Below are 20,322 nucleotides of genomic sequence, written 5' to 3'. Positions count from 1 at the left end.
ATATTCATTTTTTACCCTTGAATCCTAAAAGCAGAGATCATTTATTAATACTCAAAACATCTGGTTTTTACTAAGACTGGTCAAAGGAAAATAATTACAGTAAACTGAAACCTAGGAAAACTTAAGTTACAGATGATCATCTGTCCCATAAGCTGAGGGTTTATTTTCTAGTCTTTCTGCCTCCTGTCTACCCTAAAAGAAAAAAAAAAAAAAGAAGACACCAGATTTAAGATCTTCTCTTTTGCTCCCATTAGCAGTTTACTTTTGCACTACCACTAACACTGCCACAAATGAATCTCCCCAAATTAAAATAGCATCAAGGCTAGGCACAGTGGTTCACACCTGTAATGCTAGCACTTTGGGAGGCCGAGGCGAGAGATCATTTGAGGCCAGGGGTTGGAGACCAGCCTGGGCACCATAGTGAGATCTTGTCTCTACAGAAAAATGTAAAAACTAACCGGGCATGGTGGTGCATGCCTGTAGTCCCAGCTACTCAGGAGGTTGAGGCTGGAGGATCGCTTGAACCTGCAGTGAGCTATGATCATGTCACTGCACTCAAGCCTGGGTAACAGAGCAAGACTCTGTCTCAAAAAAATAAAAATAAAAAGTTGTAAAAAATTAAAATACCATCAAGTCCTTTAGGGTGCCGATGGTGCTGTTTAAACAATGCTAAAACCACTATCTTGTACAGGATACTGTGACAGAATATGATAGCTCTGCAGTGGTCAATGGACAGATCAAAAGATGTGTGACACAAGAATTTTCTAGAATGCTGATCCAGTGAATCAAAAACTTTGAAAAAGAGTCATCTCTGATTTCTCTCTTTCCCCTGCTCTGTTATCCAAGTCCTGTAGATTTTACTTCTGTATCGACTGCTGCAACGGCCTCAAAATTTGTGTCCATACTTCTCTTTTGATAAAGCTTGAGACTGATCATTCAGAAAGAAGGTTCTAAACCAAGGAACAAAGGGGAATTCTTACTCTTAAAAGCCTATGATAAGGCAAGGCTCACACCTGTAATCCCAGCACTTTGGGAGATCAAGGCAGGTGGACCACCTGAGGTCAGGAGTTGGAGACCCACGTGGCCAACATGGTGAAACCTTGTCTCTACTAAAAATACAAAAATTAGCAGGGCGTGGTGGTGCATGCCTGTAATCCCAGCTCCTTGGGAGGCTGAGGCGAAAGGATTGCTTGAACCTGGGAGGTAGAGGTTGCAGTGAGCGAAGATCACACCATTGCACTCCAGCCTGGGCGACAGAGGAAGATTGTCTCAAAAAAAAAAAAAAAAAAAAGTCTCTGATAGCAATTCTCAAACTTTAGCCTATCATGGAGTCAGAGGGAGGACTTGTGAAAACAGATTGCTGAGCCCACCTCTCAGGGTTTCTGATTTAGCAGCTCTGGAGCAGGGCCAAAGAATCTGCATTTTTTATTTTTCTATTTTTTTTTGAGATAGGGTCTTACTCTGTCACCAACAGGAGTACAGTTGCACAATCATGGCTCACCCCAGCCTCAACCTCTCAGGCTCAAATCATCTTCCCACCTTAGCCTCCCAAGTAGCCAGGACTACAGGCACATGCCACCATGTCTGGTTATTTTTTCTATTTTTTTAAAGACAAGTTTCGCCATGTTGCCCAGGCTGGTCTCGAACTCCTGAGCTTAAGTAAGTGATCCGCCTGCCTCAGCCTCCCAAAATGCTGGGATTACAGGTGTGAGCCACAGCAGCCGGCCCAGAATCTGTATTTCTAACAAGTCTCCAGTTGATGCTGATGGCTCCAAACACCACAGTTTGAGAAGTACTGGCCTAGAAGATGAATATATTAATTTTATGTGATAGTGATAAGATCTGGCCTTAAAATTAGATAAGTAATGTCACTGGTTTGCCCAGGTTTAAAAGATCTTCTTACATTGGTGAAAAGTTATTTTCTTTCCTTTTTCTTTTGCGCACCAAAAAAAAGAAAAAAAAAAAAGGAACCAAATCGAAGAGCTGGTCATATCCTGCCTGGTAAAAAACTTTATTTGGTCACAAGGGGAAGTTGGGAAAACTCAGAATTCTTCCTCACAACATTCTCAGCATTTCCAAAGAATATGAATAAGAATACAGAATAAATAAATCTGGCTTTGTTGATATTGCTAAAATATAGTAAATATCCAAAATCAAAGCCCAATATATCTTTTCAATTAAAAAAATTTTTTTTAACTTTTAAGTTCAGGTGTACATGTGCAGGTTTGTTATACAGGTAATCTCGTGTCACGGGGGCTTGTTGTAGAGATTATTTTGTCACCCGGTTATTAAGTCTAGTACTCATTATTTTTCTTGATCCTCTCCCTCCTCCCACTCTCCAGTAGACCCCAGTGTCTCTTATTCCCCTCTATGGGTATATTATTAAGATGTCAATTTTCCCCAAATCAATCTATTGGTTAAATGAAATCCCAATCAGAAGGCTTTTTTGTTGAAACTGACAAACTAATTCTAAAATGTATAGGGAAACACAAAAGACCTCGAAAAGCCAAAACTATTTTGAAAAAGAAAAATAAAGCTAGAGGACTGACACTGATTTCAAGACTTATTATAAAACTATAACAAGACAGTGTATTTTTCCCATAAGGATATATAGAAATTCAGGGCAGAAAATCCAGAAATAGACTAATATACACACACATATATATATAGGTGGTCAACAGACAAGGATAGGCCGGGCACGGTGGCTCATGTACTTTGGGAGGCTGAAGCAGGTGGACTGCTTGAGGCCAGGAGTTCGAGACCAGCCTGGACAACACAGCGAAATCCTGTCTCTACTAAAAATCATTTAAGCCCAGGAGACAGAGGTTGCAGTGAGCTGAGATTGTGCCACTGCCCTCCAGTCTGGGTGACAGAGCAATACTCTGTCTCAAAAAAAGAAAAGCAAGGATAGTTTTGTTTGTTTGTTTGTTTTTAATCAAATGGTGCTACAACAATTAAGTATCTATATGTAAAAGAATTACTCTATCACGCCTGTAATCCCAGCACTTTGGGAGGCTGAGGCGAGCGGACCACAAGGTCGGGAGAACAAGACCATCCTGGCTAACACGGTGAAACCCCATCTCTACTAAAAATACAAAAAATTAGCCGGGCGTGATGGCAGGTGTCTGTAGTCCCAGCTACTTGGGAGGCTGAGGCAAGAGAATGGCGTGAACCCGGGAGGCCAAGCTTGCAGTGAGCTGAGATTGCACCACTGCACTCCAGCCTGGGCGACAGAGCGAGACTCCGTCTCAAAAAAAATTAATAATAATTACTCTAGATCCTTCTCTCAAATGATAAACAAAAATGAACTCAAAATGGATTGCAGAGCGGGGCATGGTGGCTCATGCCTGTAATCCCAGCCCTTTGGGAGGCCAAGGTGCAAAAATTGCTTGAGGCCAGGAATTTGAGAACAGCCTGGGCAACATGGCGAAACCCCATCTCTACAAAAAATACAATTAGCCAGGTGTGGTGGCATGCTCCTGTAGTCTCAGCTACTCAGGAGGCTGAGACGGGAAGATGGCTTAAGCCCAGGAGGCAGAAGTTGCAGTGAGCCATGACCCCGCCACAGCACTCCAGCATAGGTGACAGATAGAGACCTTGTCTAAAAAAAAAAAAGAATCACAGATAGAAATCTTTGCGATCTTGGATTAGGCAAAGATTTCTTAGATAGGATACAAAAAACTCAAACTACAAAATAAAAAATGGATAATTTGGATTTTATCAAAATTTAAAATGTACATTCCATGATAGACTCTATTAAGAAAATAAAAAGGTTTTTTTGTTATTTGTTTTTTGAAATAGGGTCTTATTCTGTTGCCCAAACTGGAGAGTGGTGATCACAGTTCACTGTGGCCTCAACCTCCCAAATAGCTGGGACTATAGGTGCACACCCAGTTCAGTAGGGATCTCCTGTATATATACATATGTATAAATATATGCTTATTTTTAAATTATTTCTGTTATCAGTTATCAGAAAATGAAACTTCCACTGTGGGTACATCAATATCAAGCATCAGGTGTTATTATCAAGCATCAGGTGTTATTATCAAGCATCAGGTGTTATTAAACTCCACCAAGGTCTTACCCCTTAAGAAGAAACTCAGAGATTATTAGGGCTCCCAAGTTTTTTAACCTTGCTTTTGCAAAAAATTGTGGGGAAAAGAGAGATCAGACTGCTACTGTGTCTATGTAGAAAGAAGTAGACATAAGAGACTCCATTTTGTTCTGTACTAAGAAAAATTCTTCTGCCTTGAGATGTTGTTAATCTGTAACCCTTGTCCCAACCCTGTGCTCACAGCAGAGACCTGTGCTGTGTTGACTCAAGGTTTAATGGATTTAGGGCTATGCAGGATGTGCTTTGTTAAAAAAGTGCTTGAAGGCAGTATGCTTGTTAAAAGTCATCACCATTCTCTAACCTCAAGTACCCAGGGACACAATACACTGCGGAAGGCCCTCCAGCAGGGGCCTCTGCCTAGGAAAGCCAGGTATTGTCCAAGGTTTCTCCCCATGCAATAGCCTGAGATATGGCCTCCTGGGAAGGGAAAGACCTGATCATCCCCCAGCCCAACACCTGTAAAGGGTCTGTGCTGAGGAGGATTAGTAAAAGAGGAAGGCCTCTTTGCAGTTGAGATAAGAGGAAGGCATCTGTCTCCTGCTCATCCCTGGGCAATAGAATGTCTTGGTGTAAAACCCAATTGTATGTTCTATTTACTAAGATAGGAGAAAACTGCCTTAGGGCTGGAGGTGAGGTGCTAGCGGCAATACTGCTCTTTAATGCACCCAGAAGTTTGTATCCGTGCACATCAAGGCACAGTACCTTTCCTTAAACTTATTTATGACACAGAGACCTTTGTTCACAGGTTTCCTGCTGACCCTCTCCCCACTATTACACTATTGTCCTGCCACAACCCCCTCTCCAAGATGGTAGAGATAATGATCAATAAATACTGAGGGAACTCAGAGACAGGGTGCAGGTCCCCTGGGCCCACTTTTCTTTCTCTATACTTTGTCTCTGTGTCTTATTTCTTTTCTCAGTCTCTCGTCCCACATGACGAGAAACACCCACAGGTTGTGGAGGGGCAGGCCACCCCTTCAAAAATAATCAATGTCTTACCATCTGAAATTTATGAAAACAACAGAAATACATCACATCAAGTCCTCTGGGTGAATTTTTTTTTTTTTTTTTTTGAGACGGAGTCTTGCTCTGTCACGAGGCTGGAGTGCAGTGGCGCGATCTCGGCTCACTGCAACCTCCGCCTCCCGGGTTCAAGTGATTCTCCTGCCTCAGCCTCCCAAGTAGCTGGGACTACAGGCGTGTGCCACCACACCCAGCTAATTTATGTATTTTTAGTAGAGACAGGGTTTCACCATGTTGGCCAGGATGGTCTTGATCTCTTGACCTCATGATCCACCTGCCTTGGCCTCCCAAAGTGCTGGGATTATAGGCATGAGCCACCGCGCCTGGCCGGATTTGTTATTTCCCAATAATTTTAGTCATCTGGGTAATAATAGGCACCGTTACTATGCTGCCTAGTCATGAAACACAGTGGCTGGAGCAAATCAGGAAGGAATTTCACTTCCTCTGGACTCTGTTGAGTACGGCCTTGAACAAGTCACTTAAATCTTGCAGGGTCAGTGTTTCTCCATATGCAAAAAGAAGAGACTTAAGGGTGTGCTATGAAATATAAGAATCCTCCGAATTTTAAACAAGTGCATTCTCAGTGTTTTGGGCATACTTGGAAAAAAACAGCTTGCACCAAGTACTAAGAACCTCACCATTAGGAAGAAGAAAATTTTCAGGAACTGTCCAAGTTAAGAGACTACTTAAAATCAAACTTATCAATGACAGGTATCTGATCATGATAGATAAAAGCTACAGTTCTAAGATATGATCAGGACATGTTACCGATGTACATACAGAGGAATTATTCACTGCATACAAATTATAGGGTTGTGGGGATTTTGTTTTGTGAGAGTTCTCAAATTTACCAATTTCATAAATGAAAACTTGGTAAGGATTGCATAAAATTGCATAAAGATGCAATTTGGTGGACAACACGTCTTCACCTCAATTTGTTAAGAGAACCTGGGTTGTAATAAGAGCCATGAAAAATGGTAAGGTCAACTCAGACATGGTGGTGCACACTTGTAGTCTCAGCTACTAGGGAGGTTGAGGTGGGTGAATCACTTGAGCCCAGGAGTTCAAGGCCAGCCTGGGCAACATAGAGTGATCCGGTCTTAAAAAAAAAAAATGTAAAGATACATGTAACTTACCCTGGAGTTTATCTTACGTGATACAAAGCTAAAGTTGTTGCTAAATTTTGTTATTTTGTTACAGCATTTGCGCACTGATGCCCTGTTAGAGAAACTGAAAACCATATTAGGTTAAACATGACTTTAGAGAGGCTGGCAGACAGATTCCAAAATAAAATGAAGTTCTAATTTAGAATGGTTGTACTCTCTATCTTTACTAAGGTGTCCTGAGATGCCTATACACTCTGAAAAGATGCTGTTAGTTACATAAGTGGACGGACATTTATGGAGGGCAAGATTGCAACTGTCACCCAAACAGCTACTATAGAATGAGCACAGTAAAACCAGGGTACAGATTACCCATAGTACTTATTATGTTGTTGGAAACTGCTTGTTAATTTGTCTTCCTGGTCGCTAGCCTGCAAGCTCCATGAGGACAGAGACAATATGTGCCTGGTTCACTGCTGGATCCCTGACATACAGTATGCACTCAATAAATATTTGACTGACTGAATACAGAGACACCATAATTCAAAGTCTAGTCATGAGCTTTAGAAATGTAAGTTCTCGTGTCATCTATTCATCTAAAGATGACTGGGATCTACTAATTAAATTCACAAGGACCTGATCCAATAAACAAAGGTCCTAAGTGGGAGATATTAACTGGAATAACAATTGATGTTTGTCATCTGAATATAGCATCTTTTACTGGTCAACTAGGTGATTAAACGTTAGAACAGAGGGTATTTTGTGAGAAGAGCATTAAAGTATAAGTAGTAGAAGATTTTAGAGAAAACATTGTTAAGTTACAGTTGACTGATCCTTACTCTGTTTAAAGAACAGATAATCTTTTACAATCAAATCACCACCTCAAATCAGTACCAATAAATTTTTTACAAGCCAGCCATTTTTCCTTTTTCAATATTCTGCATCGGTTACATCAGAATTCTACTCTTTTTTTTTTTTTCTTGAGATGAAGTTTCGCTCTTGTCCCCTAGGCTGGAGTGCAATGGCACAATCTCGGTTCACTGCAACCTCTGCTTCCCAGGTTCAAGTGATTCTCTTGCCTCAGCCTCCCAATTACAGGCACACACCACCACTCCCGGCTAATTTTTGTATTTTTAGTAGAAACAGTGTTTCACCATGTTGGCCAGGTTGGTCTCGAACTCCTGACCTCACCTCAGGTGATTCACCTGCCTCAGCCTCCCAAAGTGCTTATAGGCATGAGCCAATGCGCCTGGCCTAGCAACTCCACTCTTAAAGTATTACTCTGTGTTATAATTTAAAACAATAAATGTTCTCTTTTTGCTACTTACGTTTTAATTTGTAGAATTCCAAATATGATTTTAGAGTTACTTTAAACTCAGTAGCTACAAATTTACAGAGTTTGGGGGAAATGTCTGTAAACTGTTAATTCCATATTTTGTAAATCCTTATTTATGCTCTATGTGTTCAATAATGCTTCCTTACCTGATGCCCAGATAATGAGGTCTTAGCTTTATCTTTTGGGTTTATAGCCCTGTACCTACCTAGCACTACAGGAGAAATAGGAAGGCAGCCAAAAGGAATACCTTAGGGCATTGATTTTAAACCTTATTTTGGTACAGACTACTAAGAGAACTTAATGAAAGCTTCCACGACCTTATTCCTAAAAACATGCATATACAAACAAATGTTGATATACTTTTTTGGTTATTACTAGATCCCCTAAATCTTGATCATAGGTCCCAGGATAAGTATTCTTGCCTTAAGGGCATAACTACACACAATTTCAGATAATGTAGCTTAGTACTGGTTTGACATTAATTTGGAATCATGCCATCAGGCTGACAAGATGCCAAAGGCGAAGCCATCAACCAAAGAATGGCTGAACCTATAAAAGTTAAAATTGTTTAAAAAAATTAAAACCAATCAACCAACTGTTGGGAGAAGCTAAAGCAGGGCTTGCATGTCTCACTTAATGTAAAAGAGTCTTGGAACATGTCCAGGGTCCAGGGTCTAAAACCCCTCATGGCCTTGGGAACACCAAGCTCTGTGCTAAAGGGCAGAAGGCTGCCCTGCAGCACCATAATCTAAGCCCAGGGCATAAAACCCTTCGTGGCTTGAATGGAATCCAGGGCTCAGGGCGTGGCCTCTGGAATGTGTCTAGACTTGCTGGCTCCTTGCTTCTAGCACTCCTAGGCTCATAGATCTATTGTATCTTAAACTAGAACATGTTTCCCATTATCTCAAGTAGCAGAACATGTTCCATATGCTGCAAAGAAAATGCTAAACCGTCACAGCTGTAGATCATGTGCTTGATACACTGCTTTCTTTCAACCCCCACATCCTCACCACCTGCTTCTTTGTTTCATCACCAATGAATAGTGCAGGCTTCCAGAGCTCGGGGCCTTCGCAGCCTCCATACTAGCATTGGCCCCCGGACCCACTTTATGCACTCTTAAACTTGTCTTTTTCATTCTTTTGACTCCACTGGACTTCGTCACCTCCACGTTGGGTCTGGCCATCCCAACAACCAACCAACCAATAAAGGGTGACTGAAGACCTAAACCAAAAGTTCTTCTTTAGCAGAAACTATAGGTTGTAAAGCTATCATGTTAGCCATATACATCTACATTACAGCAATCAATCCTGGCCTCTTTATTTTTTTTATTTTTATTTTTTTGAGAGAGGCTTGTCTCACTCTGTCATCCAGGCTGGAGTGCGGTGACACAATCACGGCTCACTGCAGCCTTGACTTCCCCAGCTCAAGTGATCCTCCTGTCCCCGCCTCCCAAGTAGCTGGGACTACAACCACGTGCATGCTCAGCTAATTTTTTTTTTTTTTTTTTGAGACAGGGTCTTACTTTGTCACCCAGACGGGAGTGCAGTGGCGTGATCTCGGCTCACTGCAGCCTCCACCTCCCAGGCTCAAGTGATCCTCCTGCCTTAGCCCCACAAGTAGCTGGGACTATAGGCATGCACCACCATGCCTGGCTAATTTTTATTTTTTGTAGAGATGGGGTCTCATTATGTTGCCTAGGCTGGTCTTGAACTCCTGGACTCAAGTGATCTTCCTGCCTCAGCCGCCCAAAGTGCTGGTATTACAGGTATGAGCCACCATGCCTGGCCAATCCTGGCATCTTTAAATGCAATAGATGACATAATGTTAGTAGCAATAGTAGTAACAACAACTAATGTTTATTAAGCATTTATTACCTGTGAAGCACTGTTCTAAGTGCCTTATAGGAATTCATTTAATCTTTACTGCTACCCCAAGAAATATTGTATTTTCCTCATTTTAAAGACAGGAAAACAGAAGCTTTCTAACTACACATATTGGAGTCAGGCCTGACAAATGCATGATAGACTGTGCTAGCAACAACATGTTTCCTTGGACACAATTTGACCTAATAGTTGATTTATTAAAATCTATGTGATAATAAATCAGAATAAAATAGGGTCCATTAATGTTTGCTAGAAGAATAGTATGTTGACTAATAAATTGCCCGGGAAGGGCTTTGATCATTTTAGAAGAAACACACCCCAAAACCCAAAAATGTCTGTACTTTTTCCAAATACGTACAACTACTGATCATCTACAATTTAAAGGGATAACATCAATACCGACATTCTTAGACTATGACATTCCCTCTTAAAAACTTGCATTTTTGGACTCACTTCAAAATGCTTAAGGTACTCTTCATAAAAGACGTGAGTTGAGGCAACCACTGGGAATGCCTGAAGATATTGCCACCCTTTCATTTAAGAGGCTTGCTCCTTGCCAGGGATCTGAAATGACTTCACCACACACATTTAGCAAACTGAATCCCCTCAAGCTTGTGGGAACTAAGCCCCCAGGCAGAGAATTAGGGTGTGGTGAACTTACTCACATTTTTTTTTAACCTGCACAAGCACAGTCCTGGCTGGAATTAGCCTCAGACTTTTCAAACACTCTTTCAATACAAGCTGCAATTTATACTCCACCCTCCTATTTCTCAGAGCACTTCAGAGACTGGAGTGTCACTGAGGCTGGAGAAAGACAGGAACGTTCTGGACATTATTCTAAATTGTTAATTTCCCATGCAATTGAAAATCCACAAGTAGCTAGGCTGCCAGCTGAGGAACTGCTATTATTCCTAAATGCTACATTGGCAATGTTATATTATTAGAACCTAGCTCACGGCCACATGCACAAGGAGGCCTCATAAAACCGTCACCTGAAAACAATGACAATATTGCATCTAACCAAAGTCAAATTTGCTTACAGTGAGGTCTCTGCACTCTTTGGGGGCTGGAGGAGTCTGACTTTATTGCTTTTTGTAAGGCTTCATCAGCACCTTCCACAGCATCTTCGAGGCCTTCCTCAGAATCATTGGATTTTGATTTTCCTGCTTCATTTACATTGGACTTGTCAAGGTTTTCAGACATTCTCAATTAAGTTTATTCACTTTCCTAGGAAAGAAAAAAACAAAAAAAAAGAACTAAAAGTATTCTAGCTCTGTCACCAACTAGCAATGTGACTCAGGGCAAATCATTTAACCTCTTTGGGTTTCAGTTTTCTCGTTTGTAGAATAAATGAGCTTGCTAAGATCTTATCCAGCTATATTCTACTTCAATGACTAAACAGATACTTGTAAAATGACATTTGTAATTTATCAGATTTCTGGATCTCACGTAGTAGTTAGTTGGAATATTTTTGTCCTACTCCTAAGTAGCATGTTTCAAGAATACAGGGCCTTAAACTATTAGAAGACACACTCTAAACTACCTGCTGCTACAATTTTAATCAGTGATTCAATCTTAAATTCTTTACTTTCATTCCTAAGAGCAGATAGGTAAACTCCTTGGAAATAATGCTTTTAATTGGGCTTACAAGTGAATACACTGGGCTAAAGGGTTGATTCCTTGATATTATCATGTGAATAAGATACCCAGAGATGACAGAAACTAGAATTTTTTTTTTTTCCAGATGGAGTTTTGCTCTTGTTGCCCAGGCTGGAGTGCAATGGGGCAATCTCAGCTAACTGCATCCTCCGCCTGCTAGGTTTCAGCAATTCTCCTGCCTCAGCCTCCCAAGTAGCTGAAATTACAGGTGGGTGCCACCACGCCCAGCTAATTTTTGTTTTGTTTTGTTTTGAGACAGAGTTTCGCTCTTTCATCCAGGCTGGAATGCAGTGGTGCGATCTCAGTTTACTGCAACTTCCACCTTCCGGTTTCAAGTGATTCTCCTGCCTCAGCCTTCTGAGTAGCTGGGATTATAGGCGCCCACCACCATGCCTGGCTGATTTTTGTATTTTTAGGAGAGATGGGGCTTCACCATGTTGGCCAGGCTGGTTTCGAACTCCTGACCTCATGATCCACCTGCCCTGGCCTCCCAAAGTGCTGGGATTACAGGCGTGAGCCACTGCGCCTGGCCTAATTTTGTATTTTTAGTAGAGACGGGGTTTCACCATGTTGGTCAGGCTGGTCTCGAACTCCTGACCTCAGGTGATCCACCTGCCTCGGTCTCCCAAAGTACTGGGATTACAGCCATGAGCCACTGCGCCCTACAGAAAACAGAATCTTATGAAATGTTTAAGAGGAATGTGTGGGGCAAATATTTTTATTACCTTCTTGCCAGTAATTAGGAAAAAGATTGTGAGTAAGAAGCTGCAAACAACCATAATGTATGCAGTTGGGTGGGCTTTTTATTAGTTGCTGATCAGAATAGCAATAACACTTGACACTGTGCTTTGGAGCAGTTAATAAAAGGTCTGCCTGGGCCTCCCAAAGTGCTGGGATTACAGGCATGAGCCACCGTGCCCAGCCTAAAACAGGCCTAAAACAGGCGGATCATGAGGTCAAGAGATCGAGACCATCCTGGCTAACACGCTGAAACCCCGTCTCCACTAAAAATATTAAAAAATTGGCCTGGCATGGTGGCGGTGCCTGTAGTCCCAAATACTCAGGAGGCTGAAGCAGGAGAATGGCATGAACCCGGGAGGCAGAGCTTGCAGTGAGCCGAGATCGCACCACTGCACTCCAGCCTGGGCAACAGACTGAGACTCTGTCTAAACAAACAAACAAACAAACAAAAAAACCCTGTTTTAATTACAGTAAAAGTTTTAGTCAATTCCTCCACTCTCCCTTTTCCTAGGGTGTTTCTGGGAGAGAAGACACAATGTTTCTGCATTTGCTGAAAATAATTAACATTTGTAACATCAGCACTTGAAGATCACAAAACATTTTCATAAACACTAATTAGACTTTCTTACACACATGGAAGGTAATCAGGTGATCAAAAGAAATGTCAACTGATTTAGGGAGTTTGGCAGACTGTGTTCTGCATATTAGAGAGAGGTGAAGAATCACCTGATAGAATTATGTGAAATTTCAGAGAACTCCATTAAATAGAATGAAGTTACTGGGATTGAAATATTCAGGCCTGTTTTTTTGTTTTTTTTTTGGGGACAGACTCTTGCACTGTTCCCCAGATTGAAGTGCAGTGGCACCATCTCGGCTCAGCTCACTGCAACCTCTGCCTCCCAGGTTCAAGGGATTCTTCTGCCTCAGCCTCCCCAGTAGCTGGGATTATAGGCGCCCACCACCACGCCTCGCTAATTTTCGTATTTTTAGTAGAGATGGGGTTTCACTATGTTGGCCAGGCTTGTCTCGAACTCCTGACCTCTAGTGATCCGCCCGCCTCAGCCTCCCAAAGTGCTGGGATTATAGGCGTGAGCCACTGCACCTGGCCCAGGCCTGTATTAATATGAAAGTTGTTTTCATGTATTTTCCCTTTCGAGACCCATCTTAGCTTCCAACACCCCACTGGAGACACCCATCTCCTCTGTGTCCTAAATCCTATTAGGGTCAGGAAATGCTCCAAGATCCAAAGGATAACATTACCAGCATATTCTGTGAGAAACGACAAACAAAACGCTGCTAATTTTATTATCTTCACATGCTGAGAAGGAGCCCAGGAGGGATGAAGTAATTCATTCTGTGCAGTGAGGAGGAAAGGGAGGATTTCTAGGTCTCTAATGCTCAGCTTAGTAAACTAACCCCATCCTTAAGATTGAGTTCAAGTCCTGTCTCTTCCCAGGACACTTCCCGGACCTCACCAGTGATTGCACCTTTCTCAACTCCTGCAGGGCTGGCTAGTTGACATTTGGCATTTGTCACTGCCTTAAATTCAATTCAAAGCGTGCTTATTTAAATAGAAAGATGCAAATACATAGTCTAGAGGGGGAGGCAGACAGGCTTACAAGGAGCCATAATGAAACTTAAGTGGCATTATGAAATTGCCCAGGGAATATAGCAGAGGAAGAAACTAACTCTGCCTGGGAGGAGATTGAGAAAACCTTCCCAGAAAAGATGACATTTGAACTGATCTTTAAAAGGAGTAGGATTTCACCTAGTTAAAACATGTCTGGAGGGGGAGAGGAGGGGGAGAGGAGGTGAAAAGGAGGGCATTTCACTCAGAGGGCAGAAGCCAAGGCACAAGAAAATGAGAAAAGGAAGTGGCTAGAGATGATGGAAAGATGCGTTGGGGCCAGATGGTAAAAGTGCTAGTTTTTATTTTAAAATTCCCCACCTAGATTTCGAACTTCTTAAGAGCCAGGACCAGTCATATTCCCCACTTATGCTCCATCTGTATATCCCCCAAATAGACACCCACAAGTATCTGTTGATAGAGATGAATCCCTACGTCATCTCTGTGATGTCACTGTATCTGGGAGGCTGGGCGTTGGTTTCAGACATACCTGGGCCCCAATTCTGGCTCTTTACTAGCTGTGTAACTTCAGTGTCCTCCTCTGTAAAACACAGCTACCTACCTGCTCGGTTTGGGGGGAGATGAAACGAGGGATTGTGCACGGCAGGCCTTCTACAAATGGTAACTCTAATTAAAGGGCTCTAGGATGCGGCCACGAACCATTTAATTTGCTTATATCGCGCGCATCCATTCAACCCCCACTGTGTCTAAAAAGAGAGCCGAGGGGAGGAGGATCCTCGCACTTGCCAAGAAGACGGTCATCCGTCGGCGCTGCACGCGGGCCTAGGCTGGACACAAGAGGCTCCCCAGCAGAAAGGGTCTTTCGGCAAAAGAAAAAAGGGGCTCTGTCCCCCGGCGCCGGGAATCCCCTCCTCTGGCACTGAGCTCCACTCGCGCCCGGCGTCCGGATTCCGTTGTAAACAGCTGTTCAGGCCAGCGAGGGAGTGGCAGGGCCGGGAGTAGGGGAGGACGCGGGCGCGCCGAGAGGACAGCCTCGAGGGGTGAGCTCCACCCGCCCGCGGACCCCGCCTCTTCCTCGCCTGCCCCCGACATCCCGGGATGGGATCCGACGGGAAGAGGCGAAGAGATGCCTGCGACTTGGACCGCGCGCCTCCCGGACGGGCCCCGCCAGCCTCCGCCCCAGCTCCCGCTCTCACCTGCCACGGAGTCGGCGTTCTCCCTCCTGCCGCTCCCGCCGCGAATCAGGCGCGGGCTGGCGCCGCGGCGGAAGCCGGAGGGATGCGCGGCAGGCAGGGGCGGTTCAGCCTCTGCCCCTCCGAGGCCGCATCCCTCGCCACGCGGCGGGCGGTCCTCCCAGCCCGACTCGGGTGGGCAGCGGTCAGAGCGGCCGCTTCTCAGCATCAGGAAGGAGGAGACTGCTCTTGGCCGGGAGGCGCCAGCCCAATATAGGGCAGCGCCATGTCTTCGTACGGAAAGGCGGGAGGGTCTTTCCCCTGCTTGCCGAAGGGGTTCAGTAAGCGGTGACTCGCAGCTGGGCGGCGCCGTGTTTCCTCAGGGAGAGGTGGAAAACATGGCCGATGACCGCTCAGGGGGCTCCGTGGCCAGTGGCTCCCAGCCAAGAGTCGCCCGCCGCACGCAGTGAGGCGCCATGTTTTCGTACGGAAACGCGAGAGGCATGGCCGAGTGCCCGCCGATGAGTCTCAGCTGGCGGTGGCTCGAAGCTGGGGATGGCCCGCCCCTAGGCGCCATGTTTCCATACGGAAAGACGGAACGCGCGCCGCATCCCAGCCGCTGGTGCGGGTGACGCGAGGAGAAAGGGAGGCGGAGAAGGCGCGGGTCAGTCAAAAGAAGGAATAAGAAGCCATTGCATCTGAAACCTTCCCCGCCCGTTCTTTGAAATTTAATTTTGCCATCCTGTTTGTAGCTACACAAAGTTTATTCCCCTTCTCTCATTTCCTCAGCTTTAAAAAAAAGTTAGTCCGGGCGCAGCAGCTCACGCCTGTAATCCCAGCACTTTGAGAGGCCGAGGCGGGCGGATCACGAGGTCAAGAGATCGAGACCATCCTGGCCAACATGGTGAAACCTCGTCTTTACTAAAAATACGAAAATTAGCTGGGTGTGGTGGCGCGCGCCTGTAGTCCCAGCTACTCGGGAGGCTGAGGCAGGAGAATCGCTTGAATCTGGGAGGCGGAGGTTGCAGTGAGGCGAGATCGCGCCACTGCACTGCGGCCTGGAGACAGACCGAGACTCTGTCTCAAAAACAAACAAACAAAAAAAAACTACAAAAAAGCAGATGGGGTGACATTGGTGCTTTCAAACACTGCTTCTAAATAGATCACATGTGGGTAGTTATTGCTAACGTATTGAAGGCCGAGTGCAATACCAGACCCTCAAACCATTTACTAACTTGCACATTAAAGTCTTTGCTTTAAAAAAAAAAAAAAAAAGACAAAAACAGAAGTTCTCTGGTGAAGATTCACTTTTTGGAGGAAAAAACACCAAAAACCCTTAAGATACTCAACTAAATGGAACTGTTAAGATCTACAAAGAATGGCTGGGCGCGGTGGCTCACACCTGTAATCCTAGCTCTTTGGGAGGTCGGAGGTGGGTGGATCACAAGGTCAGGAGTTCGAGACCAGCCTGGCCAATATGGTGAAACCTCGTTTCTACTAAAAATACAAAAAAATTAGCCGGGCATGGTGGCATATGCCTGTAATCCCAGCTACTTGGGAGGCTGAGGCAGGAGAATTGCTTGAATCCGGGAAGCAGAGGTTGCAGTGAGCCGGGATCGCACCACTGCACTGCAGCCTGGGTGACAGAGTGAGATTCCGTCTGAAAAAAAAAAAAAAGATCTGCAAAGAAAACATGCAGTTCTTCTGAGTCTAAACTCGTACCATTAAGTCTCTAGTGTTTTTCAGCCCTGACTACAAATACAACTTGGAATCTCAGGGGCAGGGGTTGGAAAAGTATCATCCAAAACTCCGGGGAGGGTGATGCCAGACAAGTTTTAAAAGCTCCCTGGGGAAGCAGGCTAGAACCTTCCTTAAAAGATTAATATGGCTGGGTGCAATGGCTCACGCCTGTAATCCTAGCTCTTTGGGAGGTCGAGGCGGGCGGATCACCTGAGGTCAGGGGTTCAAGACCAGCCTGGCCAACATGGCAAAACCCCGTCTCTACTAAAAATACAAAAATTAGCTGGGCATGGTGGCAGGCGCTTGTAATCCCAGCTACTGGAGAGGCTGAGGCAGGAGAATCCCTTGAACCCAGGAGGCAGAGGTGGCAGTGAGCGGAGATCGCACCCCTGCACTCCAGCCTGGGAGACAGCGAGACTACATCTCAAAAAAAAAAAAAAAGGTTAATATAACCAATTTTCACTTGGTTAGGAGCAAGTGAATGAATATACTCAAGTTCCACCTGGAGAGGATACTGCAACAATACCAAAATCACTGATTTAATTTGGGATATTTCACTTGTAATCTTTTAATGTTTTGTACTGTTTCAATATTCAAAAAATACATATAGACACATTCCATTTTGATCTTTGGCTGCAAGGACTGGAAATTCAAATTACGTTAAGGTAAAGGGAGTTCACTGCAAGGACATAGGACTTGGAGGGAGAAAGGTGGCAGCCACTCTAGAGGTCGGCTACTGCTCCTGTACACACAGGATCCCTCTTGTCACATCTCTGCTTGCTGTAGTCCATTCCACTCTTTATGCTACAGGCTGGTTTCTGTACTTTCTTAATTGACGCGCCTCATAATTTAAATTTACCTATATAGAATTTGATTGGCCAAACTGATTTTTGAACAAAGTTAGTCTCATTAGCCTCCAGGGAAGCTGCCCTTGGATCAGGTGCTCAACCTTGGTCTACTCTGCTAGGATGATGGCAAGACTTACGGTCAACTAGGCATTAGGTGTCTATGTGGGAATGGGTCCCCAAGAAGGCGTCATGGGTGAATGAATGAGAGCACACAGCAAAAGATAATCAACAGTTCTAGTGACTGAGGAGGGTTGCCCAAGGCTTTCAAGGTAGCACTGGACCTGTAGTTTAAAACCTTGACAATGGTTGCAGTAAACATGATCGATTTTTCTTTTTATCCTCCTTATAAGGCCTAAGGTAAATTGATTTTACTAGTATATTTTCCCTGAAATTATCATTCTATTAGAATGTTGCTTCTCCTAGAAGCATGAATGTAACTAAGCAGTTCTGCCTTCCCCTGAAGGTTGTCAAATAAATATGCTATTCAATTATGTGCAAAATAAAGGTTACAAATCAGATAGCACACGGTTGCTCTGCCCACCGTGCTGATCTCACCACAGTTCCAGTAGCTTGTTTCTGAAAACTTCCTCTCACATTTAAATCATAAACTTATCTTCTTTTTCCCCTCACTGTAAAGAGAGCTGCCTTCCCCTTTTTTTTTTTTTTTTTTTTTTTTTTTTTTTTTTTTTTTTAAGAGGGAGTCTTGTTTTGTCGCCCAGGCTGGAGTGCAATGGCACGATCTCGGCTCACTGCAACCTCCGCCTCCTAGGTTCAAGAGATTCTCCTGCCTCAGCCTCCCGAGTAGCTGGGATTACAGGCACCCGCTACCACGCCCAGCTAATTTTTGTATTTTTGGCAGAGACGGGTTTTCACCATGTTGGTCAGGCTGGTCTCAAATTCCTGACCTCAGATGATCCACCTGCCTCGGCCTCTGAAAGTGCTGGGATTACAGGCGTGAGCCACCACGCCCAGCCCTTCCATTCTTACCTATCCAAAAAAACGGAGTTATTCCCTGAGTTATTAGAACTGGTATCATAGGTATTTTATAGATATTAGTCCTCAACCTTTATCTACTTAGACTAGGCACTATCAGTTATACCTAAGGGGGAAAAAAAAACATTACTGACATACTAACATATTGGTGCATCATTTCAGTTTTCCCTACCTCTCATTAAAGTCAGTTAAAAGACAAAATTCAGTATTTAATCTTTTGGCTCTATTACTATTAGGATGAACAACTTCAAACTGTATTATATTGCTTGTCTATTTATCAAATACAGTTGACCCTTGAACAATGTGGGGGTTATGGGCATCAATCCCCCTGCACAATCAAAATTCTACATATAAGTTTTGACTCCTCTAAAACTTATTAGACTACTGTTGGCCAGAAGTCTTACCAATAACAGTCAATTAACACACATTTCGTATGTTACATTATATATAGAGTGTTTTTTGTTTTTTGTTTTTTGTTTGAGACATGATCTCGCTCTTTCACCCAGGCTGAAGTGCAGTGGCATAATCATGGTTCAATGCTGTTTCAACTTCCCAGGCTCAAATGGATCCTCCCACCTCAACCTCCCAAGGAGCTGTACCACAGGTGCATGCTACCATGCCTAGCTAATTTCTTTTTTTGGGGTGGGGTGTTAGAGACAGGGTCTCTCTACATTGCCCAGGCTGGTCTCAAGCAATCATCTCGGCTTCCCAAAGTACTGGGATTACCGTTATGAGCCACCGTGTCTGCTCTAAATACTGTATTCCTACCTTAAAGTAAGCTAGAGAAAAGAAAATGTTATTAAGAAAGTCACAAGGAAGAGAATATATACTATTCAAAGTGAAAGTGGATCATCCTAAAGGTCTTCATCCTTGTCATCTTCACATTGAATAGGTAGAGGAGGAGGAAGGCTGGTCTTGCTGTCTCAGGGGTCACAGAGGTGGAGGAGGTGGAAGGAGAGGAAGGAGAGGCAGGAGAGGCAAGCACACTTTGTATAACTTCTGTTTTTAAAAATCCAAGTGGACCTGCGCAGTTCAAACTTGTGGTGTTTAAAGGTCACCTGTGTATCTTCACAGTGCACTCATTCCAAATAATGATTAACTTGGTTAAAAAGGTATTAAAAACTTTAGCTCTAATGCCCAATTTACAAGAACTATAGGATACAAAGGAACATGATAAAGGACAGCCCAGACTTGTCATCAGAAAAATTCAGACTGAGGAAAACTCAAGAACAACTGACCAAGTTTATTTAACAATAGAGACATACACACAGACAAAAAGACAGAGAGGGGAAAGGTGGAAGGAGAAAGGAGTACTTACATTTTTATTTATTTATTTATTTTTTTGAGACAGAGTCTTGCTCTGTCACCAGGCTGGAGTACAGTGGTGCGATCTCGGCTCACTGCAACTTCTGTCTCCTGGGTTCAAGGGATTCTCCTGCCTCAGCCTCCTGAGTAGCTGGGACTACAGGCGCGTGCCCCCACGCCCAACTAATTTTTGTATTTTTAGTAGAGACGGGGTTTCACCATGTTGGCCAGGATGGTCTCGATCTCTTGACCTCGTGATCCGCCCATCTCAGCCTCCCAAAGTGCAGGGATTACAGGCATGAGCCACCGTGCCTGGCCAAACTTACATTTTTTTTTTTTTTTTTTTTTTTTTTTTTTGTGAGACAGAGTCTCACTCTGTCGCCCAGGCTGGAGTGCAGTGGTGCATCTCAGCTCACTGCAAGCTCCGCCTCCCGGGTTCACGCCATTCTCCTGCCTCAGCCTCCCGAGTAGCTGGGACTACAAGTGCCTGCCACCACGCCCAGCTAATTTTTTTGTATTTTTTTTTTGTAAAGAGGGGGTTTCACCGTGTTAGCCAGGATGGTCTCGATCTCCTGACCTCGTGATCCGCCTGCCTCGGCCTCCCAAAGTGCTGGGATTACAGAACTTACAGATTTTTAAAGAGAGACTTAAACACACTAACCAATTGCAATTTATGGACATTATTTGAATCTCCATTTGAATAAACTGTCAAAATCATTTGAGATCATCATAAGATTTCAACACTAACTGCAAACCTGATTGATATTAAGGAGTTGTAGGTTTATGTGAAGGACAATGGTTTCATGTTTTTTTTTTA

At 43.9% G+C, this 20,322-nt stretch overlaps 1 protein-coding gene across 10 annotated transcripts in view, besides 6 other annotated features; it reads right to left on the bottom strand.

Annotated features, from left to right (window-relative positions):
• TCP11L1 (t-complex 11 like 1) overlaps positions 1 to 14,864 on the bottom strand; it is a 33,992-nt gene extending 19,128 nt beyond the window's left edge. For 3 of the 10 annotated variants that reach the window (XM_017017989.3, NM_018393.4, XM_047427237.1), the window contains exons 1-2: positions 14,644 to 14,864; positions 10,500 to 10,686 (exon numbers count right to left, since the gene is read on the bottom strand). In XM_017017989.3, the coding sequence (XP_016873478.1) occupies positions 10,500 to 10,662 (163 nt within the window). In that variant the 5' untranslated portion in view covers positions 10,663 to 10,686; positions 14,644 to 14,864. Of the gene's footprint in view, positions 1 to 10,499; positions 10,687 to 14,048 lie in introns of those variants that run through there. The other 7 variants (XM_011520205.3, XM_017017990.2, XM_011520204.3 and 4 more) reach the window with 5 other exon arrangements.
• Positions 4,075 to 4,575: an enhancer, noted in NCBI's record as "OCT4-NANOG-H3K27ac hESC enhancer chr11:33071407-33071907 (GRCh37/hg19 assembly coordinates)". NCBI's record gives its function as "activates a minimal SCP1, AML or CMV promoter by ChIP-STARR-seq in naive H9 embryonic stem cells {active_cell/tissue: H9 hESC(naive)}" and the evidence as "EXISTENCE:reporter gene assay evidence [ECO:0000049][PMID:30033119]".
• Positions 14,044 to 14,363: an enhancer, noted in NCBI's record as "active region_4572". NCBI's record gives its function as "activates an Ori minimal core promoter by ATAC-STARR-seq in GM12878 lymphoblastoid cells {active_cell/tissue: GM12878}" and the evidence as "EXISTENCE:reporter gene assay evidence [ECO:0000049][PMID:35858748]".
• Positions 14,464 to 14,863: a silencer, noted in NCBI's record as "silent region_3231". NCBI's record gives its function as "represses an Ori minimal core promoter by ATAC-STARR-seq in GM12878 lymphoblastoid cells {active_cell/tissue: GM12878}" and the evidence as "EXISTENCE:reporter gene assay evidence [ECO:0000049][PMID:35858748]".
• Positions 14,844 to 15,193: an enhancer, noted in NCBI's record as "active region_4571". NCBI's record gives its function as "activates an Ori minimal core promoter by ATAC-STARR-seq in GM12878 lymphoblastoid cells {active_cell/tissue: GM12878}" and the evidence as "EXISTENCE:reporter gene assay evidence [ECO:0000049][PMID:35858748]".
• Positions 14,844 to 15,461: a biological region, named in NCBI's record as "H3K27ac hESC enhancer GRCh37_chr11:33060521-33061068".
• Positions 14,914 to 15,461: an enhancer, noted in NCBI's record as "H3K27ac hESC enhancer chr11:33060521-33061068 (GRCh37/hg19 assembly coordinates)". NCBI's record gives its function as "activates a minimal SCP1, AML or CMV promoter by ChIP-STARR-seq in naive H9 embryonic stem cells {active_cell/tissue: H9 hESC(naive)}" and the evidence as "EXISTENCE:reporter gene assay evidence [ECO:0000049][PMID:30033119]".

Source organism: Homo sapiens, chromosome 11 (assembly GCF_000001405.40).
Source record: "Homo sapiens chromosome 11, GRCh38.p14 Primary Assembly".
Lineage (NCBI taxonomy): Eukaryota > Metazoa > Chordata > Mammalia > Primates > Hominidae > Homo > Homo sapiens.
The sequence above is the reverse complement of the archived record's forward strand: the minus strand, read 5'-3'. Positions and strand labels throughout refer to the sequence as shown.